General features: G+C 36.6%; 2 protein-coding genes across 13 annotated transcripts in view, besides 1 other annotated feature; one reads left to right on the top strand and one right to left on the bottom strand.

The window, feature by feature from the left end:
* Positions 1 to 16703, bottom strand: part of CALHM4 (calcium homeostasis modulator family member 4) — a 32085-nt gene extending 15382 nt beyond the window's left edge. For 4 of the 12 annotated variants that reach the window (NM_001256887.3, XM_011535561.3, NM_001256888.3 and 1 more), the window contains exons 1-2: positions 16556 to 16703; positions 1874 to 1981 (exon numbers count right to left, since the gene is read on the bottom strand). Coding sequence is in view for 9 of the 12 variants with exons in the window: in XM_011535561.3 (XP_011533863.1) it covers positions 1874 to 1932 (59 nt within the window). In the remaining 3 variants the exon portion in view is untranslated. Of the gene's footprint in view, positions 1 to 1873; positions 1982 to 2368; positions 2587 to 3899; positions 3979 to 9247; positions 9429 to 12920; positions 13072 to 16555 lie in introns of those variants that run through there. The other 8 variants (XM_017010390.2, XM_017010391.2, XM_011535563.3 and 5 more) reach the window with 6 other exon arrangements.
* Positions 62 to 20913, top strand: part of TRAPPC3L (trafficking protein particle complex subunit 3L) — a 50696-nt gene continuing 29844 nt past the window's right edge. The window contains exons 1-3 of the mRNA NM_001139444.3: positions 62 to 273; positions 2346 to 2443; positions 5284 to 5383. Of these exons, the coding sequence (NP_001132916.1) occupies positions 232 to 273; positions 2346 to 2443; positions 5284 to 5383 (240 nt within the window). The 5' untranslated portion in view covers positions 62 to 231. The remainder of the gene's footprint in view (positions 274 to 2345; positions 2444 to 5283; positions 5384 to 20913) is intronic.
* Positions 18714 to 18914: a silencer, noted in NCBI's record as "peak6051 fragment used in MPRA reporter construct". NCBI's record gives its function as "represses an SCP1 promoter by STARR-seq MPRAs in K562 erythroleukemia cells {active_cell/tissue: K562}" and the evidence as "EXISTENCE:reporter gene assay evidence [ECO:0000049][PMID:32103011]".

Below are 20913 nucleotides of genomic sequence, written 5' to 3'. Positions count from 1 at the left end.
TTATTTGATCCATGGCAAGTTACGTGGCTATAAGACAATCCTGTTGTTCATGGTTTTTTTCCCTCTTCAGCTCAGCAAAGAGCAAAAGCAGCAGAGTGCAGAAGCAGCACTCCTGTCTCAAAGCGAGGAAGAGCTTACAAAAACAAAACAAAAAGACATGGACTGATACACCTCTAAGAAACAGGCAAAAGAAGAGAAATTGAAGATCATATTCTTCATCTATCAAGCACTATGTCTCGCCCTGCACACCGAAGACCAGAATACCATAAAATAGTAAGATCTTTCTACAAAGAGATTTTTTCTACTTCAGAGAAAATGTTTTCTTGAGTGATTTCTGATTGATTTTAAAAACTGATGCTATAAGAATTTTTAGTGGAGGAAAGACAGTGTTCAGCGAAGTGAATCATAAATGACACATCTAGGAATAATTATGATTATCTCCTACATAAAGAATAATCAATTCTTTATACACACTTTAAGGTCTTCTTTTCTGACTAATTATATCAATATGAGTGTCAATTTTTTCACCTCTGACAGAAAATATGAAAATATTAGCAATTTTTTCTATTTCATACTTCAGGAAATGGGAACTTACATATATATGTATATGTATATATATGTATGTATGTATATATATATGTGTGTATATATATAGTTGATTATGTGTAAAACTGAATCGAAATAGGTCATCAAAAAAGGATTGCCTTTAAAAATGTTTCCTAGTCTTATTGTAGCTTGGTATGTAATATCATCCTTTCTATATATTCCAGGTTAAGAGTTATTTATAAACCTTATTTTTTTGCAGATTAGTTTTAAATAATATTCTTTAATACTCTCTTATAGTTTTAGTCACTCAGATACTACAGATACAAAAACTCACTGTTAACTTTAAAATTCTGTTAATTATGTCAGGAGACTGATGGGCATTTGATATAATTAAGTAATTTCAGACTTGGTGTTTAGAATTGTAGTGACTAACTAGCATACTTCAGTTTGAAATGCCTGCAGATACCTCCTCTGGCCTTCTGGGATCTTGATTTATTTTCCTGTGGGACTCTCAAGTGCTAAAAATATATGGTACATAGTTCATATTATACCGAAATCACTTGATTTTATAAAGCAGTTAAAATGTATTTTTATCCTGATACATTCATAACCTACTGAAATAGTTAATGATGTTCTTTCAGATATTCATATGATTATTTTTATTGTTTTAAAAACGATAAAGATAAACTTATGTTGACCTTTCCTGGCATCTGTGGTATGGATTTGAGACCCAATTGAACAGATAGTTCAAGGTACAGTCCTTGGCCATGAAGCAGAATAGAGAAAGCTGGCCTTTATGGGTACTGAACCAGAAACTCAGCTGGAAATAAAATAGATTTCAATATATAATAGTGCCCACCCATCAGGGACAGAGAAGAAATTCCACTATTTCAGTTTGGCCTTAATTATAAAGGGACACAATGTTGGGGCCATGGCATGTAGGTAGGGTATGATTTTTTCTACTTTTCTCTTTTTCAAATTCTTTTGTTTTACTGCTAGTCACAACAATCTCATCATTCTCTCTCTCTCTCTCTCTCTCTCTCTCTCTTCTTCACCTTTGCTTATCTTTATGCTGTAGCATTAGTACATGGCAGCACTTTGTCTTCTGCTGTGGCTCTTATATGTTGAGCAGACTTTTCATTGATAATTTACCAGCATTTCTTGTGATTTATTATTAGGTTCTTGGAAAAACCCTAAGCCAAACCTAAATTGTCTTAAGTTTTAGTTTTCATTTATAATTTACTCTAAAAATGGGACATATTTTGGAGAACTATAAGGAAATATCACATTCCCCTTTTTTCTCTAAGTAAAAAGAAAAGAAACTCACAAATTTGCTGCTACATTTGGGTTTATCCTGAAGGTCTCCTTGGCAGATCTGGGGGCCATTAGGGATTGTGCAGACGCCTGAGAAGTCTTATCCAATTCTTGCTTCCAACTGAAAACATGGATGGCATATATTTTAGAAAAACAGAAATTTATGTTAGAAATTAGTATTTTTAAAAAACTGTCCTCCATGAAAATACATTGCAAGTTATCATGTAAGCAAATGCATAGAAAGATGTTATCATGTTACGAAATTCATTTTATTTAACAGCTCTCTCTCCCCCACCTCACATCAATGTATCCAAATGTGAATATAATTTGTTTTCAAAAGTGCAAATTGTTGCAATAATAGGAGGAAGGAAAAAATGTACAGGTGACTTCTAAGGCTACTTCAAACCAGATTTTATAAACAAAAGAAATACAGTAGTATACTGTCATAACTTGCCTATAACCAGAAACTACCCCTTTTTCTCCAGAATAAAGATCTCTTTGTCCTTACCTATGGAGCTCTGGTTGCCCAGCTGTGTAAGGATTATGAGAAGGATGAAGATGTGAACCAATATTTAGATAAAATGTAAGTGGAAGTCCTTCATTCTTATTGAATGGCTGTTGTTTCTTACATCACCTGCATTCTTTCTGCCTCTAATGACTTCCTTTGCTTCATTTCACCAGCTGTTCTTCTGTCTCAATTAATCACATCTGAAAGCTGAACATAATTTCTTACAAGTGCCATTTGGGTTGATAGAATAAGATAATAGGAAGGATTTTTTTCCTACAAATATCAAGTGTGGGATGTTTTCTCTTTAGTTAGAAATCATTTCTTAAGTGACTTAAGAGTCGCTTATAAGCAAAAGATGTGGTAAAATTGAAATTATTCTATTAACAACATGAGGGAACATCAAATTTTATTCTTTTCAGAAGTCTTTTGTTCTAACACAACTGCTTCCAATATAAATATATGCTTACACAACCACAGACCATCTATTGAAAGATATACAAGAAACTCACAATGGTAGTTTCCTAAGGGGAAGATGGAGAAAATAGGAATTGTGAATTAAAGGGAGAGTTTATTTTAAGATAGCATTTTTATTGTTTGAATGTTTTTTAATCATTACTATGCTTTTCTTAAAAAACATATTAGGTAGAAAAACTCACTTCTTCCTTTTTAAATGAGACCCATTCTCTTTGTCTTTATTGTTGGAGATTCCTCCTGCACAAATTCCACCTTTTGATTTTCTCTGAGTAACTATGTGATCATCAGATGATTGCCAAACAATAAAACATCTGTCAATGGTTTTTGAGCTTTTTAATTATAAACTCTGAAGAGGACTCTAACAGAGGAAAGACTGGAAAATGTGTACTGGTTAGAAGATTTATCTAGGCAGATTGAAGGGGAAATTTAGCCTAACATTTTAGAGCTTTTTAAAAGGGTTCATTGTATTTTCAGTTGAAATACAGAAAAAGACAACATAAAGATTGAAAGTCTTTTTAAAAAACTCTCATTTTTCTTCTTTCTGTATGCATATTTTTTTCTTTTAAAAAAATTATAATTTATTTTTGTACACATGACTTTTTTTTGGAATTTCTACTTAATTAGTCAAGGGCATTCGCAAAGAAGAGAACTGCCCAACTGTCTACCTATAGATTTTTCAGTCACTTTGTTAGCTGAACTGTCTGTCTATAGCTGTGAGGAATGTTAAGGTTATTTTACGCTAGCTCACACTTAAACATCTGACATAGCATTTCCAGAAATTACTTCATTTTATTTGACTTATGTTAAACTTGCATTGTTTTGTGAAAAAGCTGTGAATAATAAAAAAGCTCACTTATTTGACTACAAAAATACCTTTGGTTAGCTAATTGAGTACACATTTAACAAATATGAAAGAAATATTAAAGAATAAATTTTTGAGAAGCTGCAGAAAGATCTTTCCTTAAGAAAAAAATTCACATTTAGATTTCCTTAATAGCTTCTGCTGAGAGCCTCTTACATTTTTAATTTATAAAATATCTACTTTGCAGAAACATACCCTTTGACCAAAGCAATATGTGTAGATATAGCACAGCTCATAACGTTTTGGCTTCTGACCACTGTTCCCAGTTGCTGAGCTGTGGATATGCAAAGTGAGAATTAGAAAACACTGGAAATATTTTTTAATCCTGATACAACTATTTCTGTAAAGTAGACATTTTGATTGTTAAAAGTCTTTGCAGTGAGAGCTTCTTGGCTGAAATTATAAACCATTTTTCTCCAAAGTCAAGGAAGCTAAACTGAATATTTCTATCCACTCAGAAATATAAATAGGATATCTCACAAGATTCATTGAATTCATAAGCACTCTCACATCAAATCCGTCTCCCTCCAACCACCTAGTCACCAAAGATTTCATCTCTTTTTAGAGCCTCTGGAGTAATCATTGCCTCTGAACACTGTGGTGTCTTGTTGGGCATTTTGTGGCTCCACTGGAAATCGTTTCACTTGTCTATGTAGATGTGGCTGTGAAATTAAAAGACCAATTTTGATAGAGGTTTGGCAAAAATAGTGTTCCGTTTGATTTCCACCTTGAAGGTCACATTTTCTCAGCTAGATTGCAAGTTCTTATAAGATAGAGATTCTGACCTTTCTTTGTATCCTTCTGGGAAATCTAGTCGTTTTTCAGTTTATCTTGTTGAAAGTGTGTGCTCAGCCAACTTAGCTACATATTCAGTGTGTGTATAATCACATCTCAATCGAAGGTTTTCAAGATTGTACTTCAGGCACTACTAGAGCTATTTTCTCGGGGTGGAGATAATACAATACCTTCCCCCAATCCCATAGTTTGTTTCCCTGGAATGAAAAATGAGTTTTCTGAACTTGGCTGTTTTTCACTTAGTAAACTTCAGAGTCTGAAGATGCCGAAACTCTCACTGGCAACAAAAATTTTTTCTGCTCTCTTCTTCCCCTCCTTCCAGAGCCCATCCTGGAAATGCCTGCCCTTCTACCCTGATAACAATGCTAAGAGAAGAGCGAGCATCCGGGTATCACACATGTAGCAGACGCTTTAGCTAGGATCTCATTTGATTTCCATCAATAGCTAATGATGAGAAAATTAGCTGCCACTGAGAAACATTAGGCTACAGAAACCAGCCTTCCTTAATTTTAATTTATATTGTCAACTTTGGGCAAGTCTTGATTCTAGGCAGACTCTTCTGCTTGCAGGAGACCAGTTAATATTTCCTCAGTGTGTTGCTCTCTGCTTTGTGGTCTGTGGGGCGAATAAGAAGCCCACAGCCAAAAGCCATTTGACTCGTCATATTTGGTTTGATTTGTGATTCACTTGCACAAGTGCTAAACACACAAATCGCTTCTTAAAAACTGACAGACTTCACTAATTTCTTAGAATTTTCAGACCACACTCTTTCCGTCATCCACAGGGGTTACGGCATTGGAACGCGGCTTGTGGAAGACTTTTTGGCTCGATCCTGCGTGGGAAGATGCCATAGTTATTCAGAAATTATAGACATAATTGCCCAGGTAACTATGTTTTTATCTCTGTCAATATGTTTTGAAAAATCTCTGATTCTTTTTGAGTATGGTGGTTTTCTGTTCAGATTGGACAGGTTCCATCTGCATTCATTGTTAGGTGCTGAGAAAGGAGATTCTGATTGAAAAGCATTTTATTTCAGCACAGAGATAAAGCTACTGTGAACTGAAAGATGCATTTAAGCAACTATAGATTTTCCTGACTACAGGAGTGTGTAGAGTATATGTCTCACAGTGGAAAAAGCATTTTCAGAAGGTAAACAGAAGGGGAGTGTAATAGGGCAACCTTAAAACATGCATGCCCCAAACCAGTTTCTTTACGATAATTTTCAGCACATGGAGGGAGATGGTTTTTGGTAGTATCAAAGAATATTGTTTAGTCATTCCCAGAGTATTGTTTTCCCAAGAGAAAAACAGAACTTCCTGTAAATATATTTGTTCTAAGAACTTTCATAGCCCTGATATGTAGGAGACAACTTGGAATCATCCAGGATTAGCTCACTTTTATTAGAAATTAAACCGGAAAATGCATCTTTAGCCAGCCTTTAAAAATCTTGGCCTATGGTTATTAATGTAGTGTTGTTAATTTGTGGGAGACTCAGAAGATACGCGTGTCTCCAGGTTTACAAAACTGATCAATTAAGTCAGTCTCATTTTTTTTTCTCTCCTAGTCCTTAATATTGTTATACATGACCAAACTGACTCTGTGCATGAATGGCTGTCATTCTATACCATCATGCTTTCTGAGCCTAAATGCAGTTTTACATACTCTTTGTCTTTCACTGTCACAGTAACCCTCTGAAATAGGCAGAATTGGAGTTACTATCCCCATTTTCCAGATAAGAAAATTAAGTTCCAGAAATAATATGATGAACAGTAAATAATAGTATATGTGGGGAAAAATTCTACATTAAAAATACAATCCAAATGAAAGATTTTTCCATTTACTCATATTATTACTGGTATTATTTCATGGCTAGTGAATAATGTGGTTGAAACTGTTATTCGAGTATCTTCCAACCTTAGCACAATGAGTTTATCATACCACTAACCAGGCTGGGGAAAAAAGTCCCTTTTTATATTGTCAGAATATAAGTAAGATCCCAAAACAGTAGTTTGAAAAATAAAATAAAACATTTTTTAATGAAACTAATTCTATAGGCAATACTACAAGAATACCAGCTGTTTTAATGGAAAGTAAATACTTGTAATATATAAATGTAGATGGTTGTGTTTTGTTGCATTTCTAGTTGGTAGCCCCCTAGGCTTTTTGATTAGTAAGACACAGTCTCTCTATAATGAGGATAGATTGGTTTGAGAATGACTCCCTCTTGATCTTTGCCAAAATTCATCCCATTAGCTTAGTGTGGGCAAATCACTTGAGCTCAGGAGATGGAGAGATCGAGACCAGCCTGGCCAACATGGTGAAATCCCACCTCTACAAAAAAATACAAAAATTAGCCGGGCGTGGTGGCACAGCTGTAGTCCCAACAACTCAGAAAGCTGAGAGGGGTGGATGGCTTGAGGCTGGGAGGTGAAGGTTACAGTGAGTCAAGATCATGCAACTGCACTCCAGCCTGGGTGACAGAGCAAGACCCTGTTTCAAAAAAAAAAAAAAAGAAAGAAAGATTTAAGACTTTGTCTTGCAAATTAATAAGGCGGTAGAGCATTGACCAATAATCTGAAAACTTATATAATGTGGAAAATAAAACCTGACTCCTGTATTTAAGGTTGTTTATTAGGCTTTGAACATTTGAAGAATAATTTCAAGGGCAATTTGGAGACTTCATTCTAAAGATATGTTAGCATAACTAGCAAAAAATTTCATTCCTCTGGATATGTTTGTATATGTATCTTTTGCCATTTATTAATGTATTCACTTATTTTTTTAAGAAGATGATTAACAGAACAAAAAATATCTGTTGAAAAAAGAGCAGTAACCAACTGGAAGTAGAGGCATATACAACCTCATTGCTGAGAAGCTGGAATTACATTCTGTCACACGATGTAGGGTCAGAGATTATCTGAAATATGCTCAATACCGTAAATGCCCTTGGCCCAGAGAATATTGGCTCATCCAGTTAGAATAGTGCAGTGACATGGGAGGATTCTCCAGTTTTTTCTTACTGTCTATTATTAGCGCTGAGGGCAACATCCAAATCACTGAAAAGCTTCTGAAGAGACTCAGAAGAGATAATTCCACATATTCATTTTAATCAGAAGAACATAAGGGAACAAAGCTTCTCTAGTAGAAAATAAAAATGGTAACTTTTAAAAATTATTATGATTAACTTCAAAATAGCTGCTAACAAATATCCCATATGAATCCTTCCCAGAGGTGGCTAAGAAGTCTCATGTAAAACTTTCTTGTTACCTGTGGTCCTCGACCAGGATATTCTCCATTCTCTATTAGCCACAGGAAAATTACAGAGCTGAAAGCCAAATTAAATATGCCAATAGGAAGTACATATTTATGTGGGGCCTAATGTAGGACTTCTTACTGGGTATTTACTCAATAAAAATTAGTTGAAAGAAAAGAAAAGAGGAAGGGAAGAGGGGAGGAAGGAGAAAGAAGGAATCAAAGCAGACTTTTGTTCAGGCCCCTTAGGAAGTTGCTTTTCTTCTGCAGGAGGTAGCCTGCGAATGCTCCTCACCTTGCCCAATGCATTTAAGGGCTCCTCGAGTCCCTTCCATGAGGAACTACTCGCTTTACCTTACAATGAAGTCTTCAATATGTGGAAATAGAACAAGAGTTCTTTCAATGCTCCAGATTAAAAAAGAAAAGGTTGAAGAGGAATCGAGTAAGAAATGTTCTATGGAGAGCATAGGAAAGAAAATGAATTCATATCTCAGCAGGAAAAGACCCATGAAAAAAACCCAGAATGTTCCCCATTTAGAAATTATATTCAGAAACCATATTCTGTCTTTAAAAGAGTAAAGAAGATTCTAACGAAATTTGACCTCCTAATGGTACACAATTTTCACCAAGTTAGAAACAAGTCTGCTTGATTCTCCCCTATTAGAAAAATGTACAACATCTGCTTTCCAAATATCCCTTCTCTAAGATTTTCATGTCTTATCAACCATTCTGATGAATTCCTTCCTGTGTCTTCTGTCCTCAGTGAACAGGAAAAAGATCCACTTCCACTCCTATGCAAGATTCTTTCTTGTCAATGAGGAGAATATTCATCACCTTCACCCTTCTCTAGTGTAAGACAACTGTCCCTGCTCTTTGCACCTTCCTTCAAAGGCCTGATTTCCTTCCTCTTGATCATTTTTACTTCTCCAACAAAATGTTCCTTTACTTGTAGCACTAATGTCACCCATTTCAGGAGCACTTTGACAAAGATGAAAGGTCAGACTTTAGTTATGGACCTGCCCACTGAAGCTTTGTTAAAAATTAGCAGCTTTCATCCAAACGTCGGGCCTGTGGCAGCATTATCTTATTAATCCTTGTAAACTCTCCTCAGAGGAGGCAGATGTCAAATGATACAGTCAGTTTTACAGAGAACTAGGCCAAGTTCAGAAGAAGTTTACTGTAGTCACATGCTGCTCCCAGAGCATGGCAGAGTCAAGAATAGAACCTAATGGCTGTAAAATTTGTTTGGCTCCCCTCTCAGACCACACACTTCTACCGAACACCATCATCATCCGTCTCAAGTACTGAGCACCTAGAGACCATGGCACCCATAAAACTCATGATCTCTGTCCTGTCTCCAGGGAAGGAAAGAGAGAGAAGGAATGCATTTGAAGAGAATTGACTAGATGAAGAAACCTATGCCCAGACAGGAGAAGTGATCCCTCCCTCTGAGTTAGTAAAAAGACTACATGTAGGAACAGGTTTCCTGAACTTACACTGCACTCAGCACGCCTCTGCCTTTGCGAGAGAAGGACTGTGTAACTTCAGGTATTCATAACATTCCCCTCTCTTGTTTCCCTCACTAGTTTTTTTCTTCAAAGAGGAGGTCGGTCTGTCATTAGGCCTCTGACAATGTCTTTTAACAAGTAGTAGACTTAAGTTGCGCCATCTAGTGGTCTGAAAAGAAATCCCATGATAATGGCCAAATCATTGAAGGCAAAAATCTTTAGTTGACCTTGCATTTTATATAAAAAAAAGATGCCAAGTTAATTATAAAGTCTCATTCCTACAACATTAAAATTCATCCATTTTTAAAACAGAATTTTATAATATACAACTTAACTTTTTGTAGTAGTTACTTCAAAGTACAACTACAAATATTAAATAAGACATACTAATTTATTTTGAACATTTGTAAGTCAACAGCATTATAACATGGTATTGAAAAACTTTAATAGCATTGATATTTTCTTTATAAAAGTTCAAAGTAACTCCTACCTATTACCTGTATTTCCCTTATAAGAACCTTGTGAAATAAAAAGAACATCTATCATCTATCATTAGCCCCATTTTACTGATAGAATAATTGAGACTTATCTGCTATCACCATGGACACATAGTAAGAAAAGCCAGCTTAGAATTTAATTCTTTTGACCTTATTCTAGTGTTTTTTCCACAAACTAATTGTTTAAAATATATCTTTAAAGATATTTTTCTACTATGGTAACTGTTCTGAGAAAAATTTTGCAGTTGGTCTAAATGAAAATGTGTAATATTCAGTAGAATTACCATAGCTGATTTTAGTTGTAATAATGAAATATTAGATAATTCAACTGTTACTTACAGACCTATATGTCTTTCTGTTTATTATAAGGGAAAGTAGAAAGTGCAATTGCACCTGTCTCTGGTCAAAGAGCCAAAAAACCTCCTTAGTTATACAAAATATATTTTAGGGTTTCCAAACACATTTATGATAAAATAGTTTCGTTATTAGGAGAAGCTAATTAGAGATAAACTTGATCATTTAAATCAAGATGATTATAAAGGCTAGGCTTGACAATAATTATAATAATGTTGCCTTTTGAAAGTAGTTTGGACACAAGGAGCTGTGATCCTCACCAGTAGATGAGCACTGGCCTAACCATGTCCAATGTAGTGGAGATTAAAAAGGAAGAGTCCACATCCTGCTGATCCACATTCCCACTGTGTGACTCCAAGCAAGTTGCTTAAGCTGTCCAAACTTTGGTTTCCATATTTGTCAGAAGAGACCTCTTTCAGCTGTCATTCTTCTGAATTTCAGGTGTTATTTTCACTAGCTATCATCTGCACATTGAATTATAATCATAAATAGCTGAGTGTGGTGAATGTAGCTTCCAAAGCCTCCTGCAGAGCATCCATCCATACCTTCTAGTTACTGACAATGTTTATAACTGCTCGGCCTTGCACAAATTATGTTTGTCAAAGTTGAGAAGCTTTTTGCTCTCAGGTCCATGTCAATATGATGATTACTCTGAGGGACGTGGGGGAATTTATCATTTTTCAGTGTAAATATCACATTACTTTGTTGTCACAGTAAGAAGGGATTTTTAAATACAGCATAAAAAGACTTAAAAAACTTGAAACCCCGATTTTTAGGTTTAAAAAATCAGCATCTAATATACTGTACTTGTTGGAAATTCTGGAAAGCAAAAGAAGAGAACTTTTCTTTTATAGTATAAATTGAAATTTTACCTTAATTAAATAATGTGAGCAATGATTTTGGGGGATGAGTAATAAAAAATCAAGGAAATGATCATAGGAAGCAATATGAATGAGGGTGCCTAAAGCAGGGAAGTAAATCTAAGTGGTGAATTTTGTAAGCATAAACTCTAGGACAAAAGATTTAGGCACATAATCCAGAGAGAAAACAGAATAGCAGGGGGAATTTTTTTCCCAGTGGGTGAATCATTTTTATTTCAATAAAATGTTCCATTTGAGATTAGAGTTGAGTGTACACAGAAAAATTTCAGCAAATCATACTAGTCATATTTTTTTTTCTTCTGCTTCTGATCTGAATGCACAAGACTGCTATGACTGAATCTATAGGACGAATGAAAATATTTCAAGCCAAAACTCCTGAGCTGCTTTAGAATGGAGACAGCATGAGGGCTATAGATTTCCAATCTCCAATACAGATTTGAAGCACTGATTTGACACTTCAACAAGGATGTCCAAATCTGATTTTATTAGACATTTTCAGAGGGGAGTCCCACAGCTTGGAAGGCGAGCCAGAGAGGTTTCAGTCAGGAGACAGGAATCACACAATCATTTCAAAATGAAAGGTTGAATATAAAACATTATTAGCTATTTATAGGGGATTAGCTACTGAGAAAGGGGAAAAAAAAAACGCACTACAGAATTTATGGGTGAGAGTTGAGTACCCAAAGGAGGAATCCTTTTTAGACAGAGTTCCACTTCTTAAGGCTGGGATTCAAATCTTGTTGGGGAAGGTATGATTACAGACTATGGATAGTGGAGAAGGCTGCTGTGTTGCTAGACTCAGACTGCCGGCAGGGAACAATGGGCTAAACCTTGCAATCAGGAAACTCACATTAGGGTGTAAGTGGGCTGATGGGGACAGTAAGAAAACTATAAGCTGGAAGTAGCAAGTTAGGAAGGAAAGGCCACTGGGTATTCTATGCCCTGCCAGTCACAATTCACAGCAGGAGCAAGCCAACAAAAGGCACGCTAGAGACAGAAGAAAAGCCCCTTCTTCCTGCAGTGTCCCTGCAGCACCTTCTTCTGGCCAAGGAGAAATGTCTGCATGATGGAGCTCTAGCGTTACAAGTAGGGCATTGAACAGCAGGTTTTAAGCTGAGAGGCAATAATCTGACAACCAGTACAGAAGGCATGAGCCGAGCCAACCTGATTGTTACTTACATTTCTATTGCCGTTTTAAATTTTGGTGGCCTCACGTTTGACCCTATCCTACCTGCTCTCTCACGCTGGAATTATTCTGGCCACTCAGTGCAACTCTAGCTGTCTGGTGGAAGGAAGAGGTGGCAAATGAAGCCACGTGTTTTTCTTGCTAGAGTGGTGTCAACTTCTTGCCACTGAAGACACAAAATAGGCTGAAGAGCACAATTTTCAGTGTGCAAACTTTTCTTCTGAAATAAAGACTTTTTGTTAAATACTGTGAAATTTGTTAAATACAACCACTACCTCTTTTTTCCTACAAATTTCTTCAACTTCTGCAACCAAATCTATGTTCGCTTTCTCAATCCCTCCAATGACTATAAATCTACTGTCTCTATTTGACTGCTGTTAGAAGTGCTGTTAAATGACACTGTGGCCAAGAACTCCAGAATATCACCCGCCAATAATTTATACTTTCTTCCGTGGAAGCCCAAGGTGGTGATATGCAAGGATAAATGGCAGACTGGCCCTTAAGCTACCACCCAGTGAAAGATGTAGCTGGGGGCTTAGACTTAAAGCCTGCCAGTGGGTCTCATAGGCTTTAAATTAACCAAGTTGACGTTCTGAAATGTTCATTAGATCTTTCTGTGCCAAAGGGAGATAATTAGTTTGCATTATGTGAAGCAAGAGTTGTAATGTTAAGATAAGTAAGCAAAAATGACAAAGCAACTTTGTAAAGGTAAGGGAACCCATGATTAACCTTACTTAACCTACCTTTATTATGAAAGCAGAGCAATGTAAGTCTGCATTTTAGTTTAATGTTTTAATCAGTTTGTGAGATTCAATTTTATCGTGTTTTGTGCCTGTTGATCTTCCAACGATTTGCTGTTGACCAGCTTATTTTGTACATAGTTCCAGTCTACATCTAAAGAAAGCAAAAATGTTTCACAAAAGTGGAAGTAATACAGTTTCCCAAAGTTATGATAATACTAGTAAATTTTGTTTAATTTGATTCTTTATTGTATTAGCCAGTGAAGTTGCCTTTCATTTACAATTTCATTTCCCCATCAGATCTGTAAGTTTTTCCAAAGGAGGGATCATTTATAGCATTCTTGGGATTTGGTTCACCAGGTAAATCCACACCTGTTGACATTTATTAAATACTGTTAAAGTGAACTTAGAAAATACTAGAAAAACCGGCCGGGCGCGGTGGCTCACGCCTGTAATTCCCTCTCTCAGGGAGGCAAGACGCGGAAGGATAGCTTGAGCCCAGGAGTTCGAGACCTGCCTGGGCAATATAGCGAGACCCCGTTCTCCAGAAAAAGGAAAAAAAAGACAAAAAAGAGAGAAAATACTAGAAGAACTTTTCACATCTACACCCTGTTGCTCCTCCTAGTCTGTCCAGAAGAGGGCAGTGCTCCACATTTGTCTTTAAATGAAAGACTCCTACCCTGTCTGCTCAATACTAACACTACATGCAGAAGCAGCCCTCTTATTTCAAGCAATTTTCATTACACTGAAAATCAGTGCTCTAAAAGTACCTGGTTGTTCACAATAACAAATCCACAGCAACAAGATTTAAACTGCGGTAGGATCCTGAACAGGACAATAACTGATTCTTATTAAATAATGACAGCGAACTCAACTTGGTAATTTTATTGAAACATTTGTTTTTTCCATTATTGTTTATTATATTATATTTTAAAATTAAATATAAATTAAATATAAATAAATTTTAATTATATTAAATTGTATATTTATTATTGTTTTTTCCATTATTTATTATATGAGTGTAGAAGGTTTCAGAAGAGGGATATTCATTCTGCTACTCTGAGGTCAACTGTGATTTAAAATGCAAATATTAAGTAGGTAACCAAATCATTACATAGTGCATTTCATATTATTATGGAAAATGCTTGAAAATTATCCTAAAATTCATCATGGAGCCAAATTGTGTTAGGTAGACTCCTTTAGGTTACCAGCATTTGGTTTATGTCAGACCTTTAGGGTTTATTGTAGAGATATTCTGGGACACGATAATCAGACCCCATGAAAGAACCAAAATGGGAAAATCCTTACAGTTTTAGTCTATCTTGAACCCTCAGCAGCAAGTCTTTGTGGTTCTCTACTTCAGTCCTGTGCCATTTTCATGACTCAACCCTTCTCTGCTTGTTCTGCTCTTATAATTACCTACTAATATCTTTCCATTTTTCTTTTCCTTCTCTCCACCTCACTGCTTCTGGTGTTTCACAGTTTTTGTTGCCTCATGGCTTCTGCTTACTCTCTTTTCTCTGGGTGTCATTTGCATTCTGCCCAATCACCCAAACTGTGACTTTCTCTATGTGTTTCATATTTAAAGTCCCAAAAAGAGAGTCTTTAACCTGTCCAGCCAATCACTAGCCCTGTGTTAAGTAGAGTTTCATGCTAGGTCACTTCCAGGGCTCTAGCCAAGCTATGAACTGACTGTCCAGGCTCACAATGCCCACCCTAATCCATTAACTGTGGCCAGAATGGCAGGATAATTAGATAGAACATGGTGATCATAGGGAGCCCCTCAGGAAGGGAATCTGGGTATGAAAAACATTCCAAGATTTTCCAAAACAGGGCAAAGTAATTGACAAATATCTTGTTCTTCTTGTCTAGGAAATTAGTAACATATATATATATATATATATATATATATATATATATATATATGAGTCTCACTTTATCTATGAACCTTCTGCTCACATTATTTATGTTACTGATGCTGGTGTTTGTTTTTCTTTGTTTCAGAGCTAGAATTTGGGGCACGTAACTAGTGTTGCAGACTCCATTTAGTATGCTAACTGTAAGGTATTGAAGTAGACAAAACTGTCTTTGTTATACATTTGCAGATAATAATAAAGAAAGCAAACACTTCAAAATAAAATGACTCTGCACTTGGAAGCAGTCAAGTGAAACCACATTGTTAATGCAAAGTAAATATTTTAGACCATTAGCAAGAGTGGGGCAGACATTATTCAGAACAGTGAGCTCAGAGGAACGCTTTGGTAGAAGGGAGATAACTAAATTCTCCAAAGAAAAATGATGTTGTGCTACAATAGGTAGTATTAGGTTTCCCTTTGAACTTCTTATAAAGGAACCAATTACAAAAGTTTGCTCTGGTCATCTAATCCTGTGGGGCTTTTTCTTTTGTTACTCTTTTTTCTAAGTCTTTTTCAGTCCTTTCTCTTGACATTCTGTGTGTTTTCTTTTTTCAAAGAATGTTAGCAGAGACAATCTGATTTTTAATGTGAATAGGAAAAGTGCCCAGATGAAATGAACTTAAACCAGGGCATTCAAGTCAGAGACAGTAACATATCTTAGGCTGTTTTTTCCTTTTTCTTAAAAAGGAGGGGGGGTGGTTTGTTCCTTATGCTTCTGTATTTTACTTACTTTGCTTTTTTTTTCTAATTATATTTGGCTTCCTTCATTTTCTAAATAACATGCATCTTAAAAACAAATACTTCTCTAAAAGTCACCATATTTCACAATTCTGGGTCTAAGTCTAGATGTAATGCACCCAGTATGATGCACAACACTTGAATTTTGCTGCCATCATAATGCTGTGCATAAAATGGGGAGGCATTTTTTTTCCTGTCCTCTGAATGTTCTTTCTTTTACTAGGATGAATATGTAAAACTCAGTTTTAGAGTTGCTTTCCATTCCTCAACCCTCTTCCGCACACACTCCTCTTACACACAACTTACTTTATGGTATAGGCTCAGAAATGCAGCCTGGGGGCCATAAAATAAAAGACCTGGAACCTGTTTATTTTCATTCAATCTCTGCCCTTCACTTGGTTAAAATCTCTCACTGATATTGTGGAGACTGATTTTTGCTGATGGTCCTCTCAAAAAGTGACTCATTCATGCTGCATTCACCTCATGAGGGTGGAAGGCACATCATTGCAACTGCCTACCTGTCAACCTCACCAGATGACATGTAACTTCTGCCTTGCAGGACATGGAGAGGGGGTTCTGTGCTCTCCACATAGACACTGAAGGCAGATACGAATGGTGGACAACTTCCACTCAGCTCCAATCTACTTTACCTCGAGCAGCACAGTGCTCTGTCTACCAAAAGCAGCCTGACAGGAAATCCCTAACTGTAGGGTGGGAAGCAGGAGGGTGCATGGAGGCTACCCCATATTTCCCTTCCATTAGACAGCCAACAGTTGTGACTCTGTTAGTTACAAAGATTCTAAAATTTTTTAATATCTCGCCACTGTCTTATCTTAGAATAACATGTAAATAGATATTTGAGAAATTAGCTGTTATTGTACATGCCTCCCACCCCAGCCAAAAGATTGAAGTAGGAAACCCAGGTATTGGAACGGAACAGAGTCCCCAGGGTCTAGTGAGATTTGCAACCCAGGCATTCCTTACCACGCACAGAGCTGAAGGGTTGCAGCAAAGCCAAGTGAAAGGCTCAGTTATTCACCTGAAGAGTCAGGACAAATGTGGAGAACACAGGTTCACAACAAACCAGGTAGAAACAGGAGACCCGGTCAGAGAGAGCAGTTCTCAGCACAGTGTAGGCAGGGGAGGACCCAAGGGTAAAACACCGTATATGCCTCATTCTCAACATTTTTCTAAGATTACTAATCCCTGTAATCCCTCAACAACTACAACAACAAAGGAAACTTATCAGATAAGCCTAAAAATAAAATCTTTCTTTGCTCGTCCTGTTTTTCAAAGGCTAACTCAAAACCTAATTGTAAGAGCCTATTGAATTGCTTTTCTTTTTTCCACTCTTTTCAACATACTATATTAAAATAAAATAAGTGGGAGCCCTTGGTAAACAGGAATTGAATTCCATGGAAGTCACAGCCCAACACAACACAACATTCCAGAGAAGGCTGGCATCACAGTTAGCTGAATGTCAGACCATTTTCCTATTTAGTAGCAGTTTTGAGTAGAGAAGGGAGCGGAAATCAATTAAAAGGAAAGAAAAATTCTTTGTGGTAATAAAATTCTCAATATTTAAAAAATGATGAATATTCACAGCAAAAACAATTTATAAATTATTTTAAGACATCTTACAATTTGGGCCAGAAATATGGCAGATAGATTATTAAAAACATGAAACTTGTTTAAACAAGCATAACCACTTAGGCTTGTTTCTCCCCACTGAATAGGCAAGAACTGCCTTATGTAATCACTCACCCATTTGGTCTATTCCGCTTTGTACCTCTGGGAGGGGTGAAAAAGGAAAAATGTAGGAAATTTTCTTTTGTGGAAAAGCATATGTGTACAGCCACAAGCTTTGTGGATTTTGAGACTGATTGGATCAAACCCAGAAGGCCACATCCACTGTTTATGGCAGAGTTCCAACATGAAGGCAAAGCACCTGCAGAGGAATTACCCTTAAACTTTTATTATGACTGCATTTGCATAATATTATTTTTTCTTTCATCACAGAGAAGAATCTCTTAGGGGTTGATTCTTAGTAAATTCTGCAAGTCACTAAATAACTTAGCACTGCCTCTCACCTTCCTTATGAATGTCCATCTTCCATTTTTGTTCATAATCAGGACTTACAAGAAATCTGGCTGCATGTAGATGTCATTTTTGCTCTATTACTAAAAATACTCTAAGGGAGAAGTTTTTTTAAATTTTACTTTATGTTCTGGGATACATGTGCTGAACGCGCAGGCTTCTTACATAGGTATACATGTGTCATGGTGGTTTGCTGCTCCTATCAACCTGTCATCTAGGTTTTAAGCCCTGCATGCATTAGGCATTGGTCCAAATGCTCTCCCTCCTAGGGGAGAAGTTTTGAATCTTCCGGGTATCCCAGCACATGAATATCTAGGCTGCTCTGCCTTTGCATTGAAGATTATTGGTTTTATTTCTGCTGTTTAAGTTATTTGGATGAAACTCATGTGAAACTGACTTATGAAACTGTAGGGAAGGCAAAACTTCACCTCTATCCTCTTAGGATTTTTTTTTAAAGTTGTCCTGAGAATTAAATTGACATGAGACAGATCAACAGAAAAAAAGCATACACATTTACTTAACACATAGCATGGGAATCTTTTTTTTTTTTTTTTTTTTGTTTTGAGACGGAGTCTCGCTCTGTCGCCCAGACTTGAGTGCAGTGGCTCGATGTCGGCTCACTGCAAGCTCCGCCTCCCCGGTTCACGCCATTCTCCTGCCTCAGCCTCCCGAGTAGCTGGGACCAGGCGCCCGCCACCAAGCCTGGCTAATTTTTTGTATTTTTAGTAGAGACGGGGTTTCAGCGTGTTAGCCAGGATGGTCTCGATCTCCTGACCTCGTGATTCGTCCGTCTCGGCCCCCCAAAGTGCTGGGATTACAGGCGTGAGCCACCGCGCCGGGCCGGGAATCTTTAATAAAGAAATGGAGACCCAAGGAGTTGAACACTTACCTACTGAATTGGACAAAGAATAGTAATTTGTGAAAAGGCAACTAAATTATTTGGGGAGGCAAGAAGACAAGAATTATTTTAATAAAATCTGTACAGAATCCTCTCAGCCTCAATTGTCCCTCCTTGATGTTAAGAGTGTTGCTTTCTTTCTAGTACAGGGAGGATATCCTTCACATGGGAATTTCTTCTCCTGCCTTTAAGAAACAGCAGGAAGGTCAGAGCAATCTTGTGACTGCTGCTTTTCAAGTGCCTATAACTCAAAATAATGAATATGTATGTCAAAGTGGCAATATTTTGGAGTGGCACATTCTTAAGTCCTTTAAAACAAACCTAAGTGGACTGAAAATAGCAATAGCTTTGCTATTTATTAATGTAACTATTTACAATAAAATTCTTTATTAAGAAAAAAAACCATGGAGTAAATACCCTGGGAAACAAAACTCTAAAGCAAGATCTGTCTGGGTCTAAGGATTCAGAGACACATCAGGAACACCAAATCCCAGGCCATCCCTGCCTGGTGTAATGTTTAGTTTGTGTCAGAAGTAAGATTTTGTTCAGACTTGCCGTGACCTCTCAGTGGTACTCCCGGGCAAGGGTTATCAATTCTAGCTCCTGCATAGACTCACCTGGAGCTTTCCAAAAAATCCTGACTTTCAGAACTTACTTTTGACCCAATAAATTGTGGTCTCTGGGAATAAGGCACAGGCATTAGAACTTTTTAAATGCTCTCCAAGTGATCCTAATTGGCCTCCACTGTTTAGAACAAGAGTTTCCTAACTTTGTTCTGTGGAACTCTAGGGTGATTCCTATAGAAGTGAGGCTGCAGGTTAAGGCTGCCACGCCTCCAGACCCTCCATCCAAATTCTTCTCCTAGTTACCTCTCTTTTTATGTCTTTTACATGCTTCAAATAAAATAAAAATCCATTTGGAAAAAAAGTGGAAAACACTAGAGAGATATGATCAAAGTGGAACAGTTTTGATTGAAACAAAGTCCATCTCACCTTTAGTTGGGACAACAAACTTGTCTATAGGGAAAGAGGTAGGGAAGGAGGCTGTGTTTTTGAGGACATTTCTCAAAATAAGGTGGAAATGGATCAGTTTGTAAGCATATATTTCTTTAATTGCTTGACTTCATGCATAGGGTCGGTGAAACCCACTCATAGTTAGCCAACTGTTTAAGGAAGTAACCCTTTTAAAAACACTGATTACTATCCCTCATGTTTCCTCCGTGACACAAATACCAACAAAACCCCTGGGAGAAATAATTGTGTTCTGTTGAAACCATCAGCAATTATTATGATTGCAGAAGCACATCTCTTTATGATAAAATATAGGCACAGAATGTTTTTACAATGCAACTAGTCACCATTTTATAGGTTATAAACTGCCGAATAATGCATATATCTTAAGGTACTGTTCTTAAGCAAAGTTACTTAATATCATGAGTTCTTACTTTGCTGACTTAATCCTATTTCTTGAAATGGCCCAGTGAATGTGATTAGGTGAAGTAATTAATTCATTTTCCCATTTTAATCTCAAGTTTTCATTGCAATTTAAAACTTGTGAAGATTTCTCTCTGGCATTGTTGTGGCTGTAGGTACAGGAAACCCAAAATTATAAAAAGATAGCTGGCCAGACAGAAAGGTGGACTCTAAAATATATAAAAATTAAAGTTTGGGGACTATTTGAAATCTTTTATAAACTTTCCACTGCTAAAAATTCCTTCTATATCAATTGTCATTTTTATCTAAGGAAATTTTTAAAAAAATAAAATGGAAAGTTTACTTCATTGATACAGTAGGAGCATAGTTTGAGCATAACTATCCTAAATATTTAGAAACCCAAGGTGAAAAGCTGTTCAGGATGGGAAAGAATCCAGGGGCCCAGACAGAGGCCAGGAAACTTGGAGATAGACCTCTATTCCCAAGAGGATATTAAGAATACAACTGGCTGGGAATTCACACACCACTGGCTGTAAGATTTAGGACAACAGAGTTGAGACTTTGAGATGTACTAATTCAACATCCTCATTTTACAAATGAGGGAACATACTTTGAAAAGTTATATGAACACTCAAGAATATACTAAAATGAGGCAGAATTTGTGTGATGGAAATTAGGATTAGACACATGTAGGTCCAAATTGATGTTCAATAACTTAACAGTGGCATAACCACCTTAGCCTTTTTGGACTCTAGCATTATTTATAAACATAGAAAAGGTAATACCTGCCTCCCAGTATGCTTGTGAAACTTAGATGAAACAAGAGCCAAGACTTCAAGTTAACTTAGTTTTTTAAATTAAATTAATGAAATTCCAATAGGAATATAGGAGTGGTTTAGTTTTAAATTCAAAAC

Source organism: Homo sapiens, chromosome 6 (genome assembly GCF_000001405.40).
Source record: "Homo sapiens chromosome 6, GRCh38.p14 Primary Assembly".
NCBI lineage: Eukaryota > Metazoa > Chordata > Mammalia > Primates > Hominidae > Homo > Homo sapiens.
Note: the sequence above shows the minus strand (reverse complement) of the source record. Positions and strands in the feature narration are given on the sequence as shown.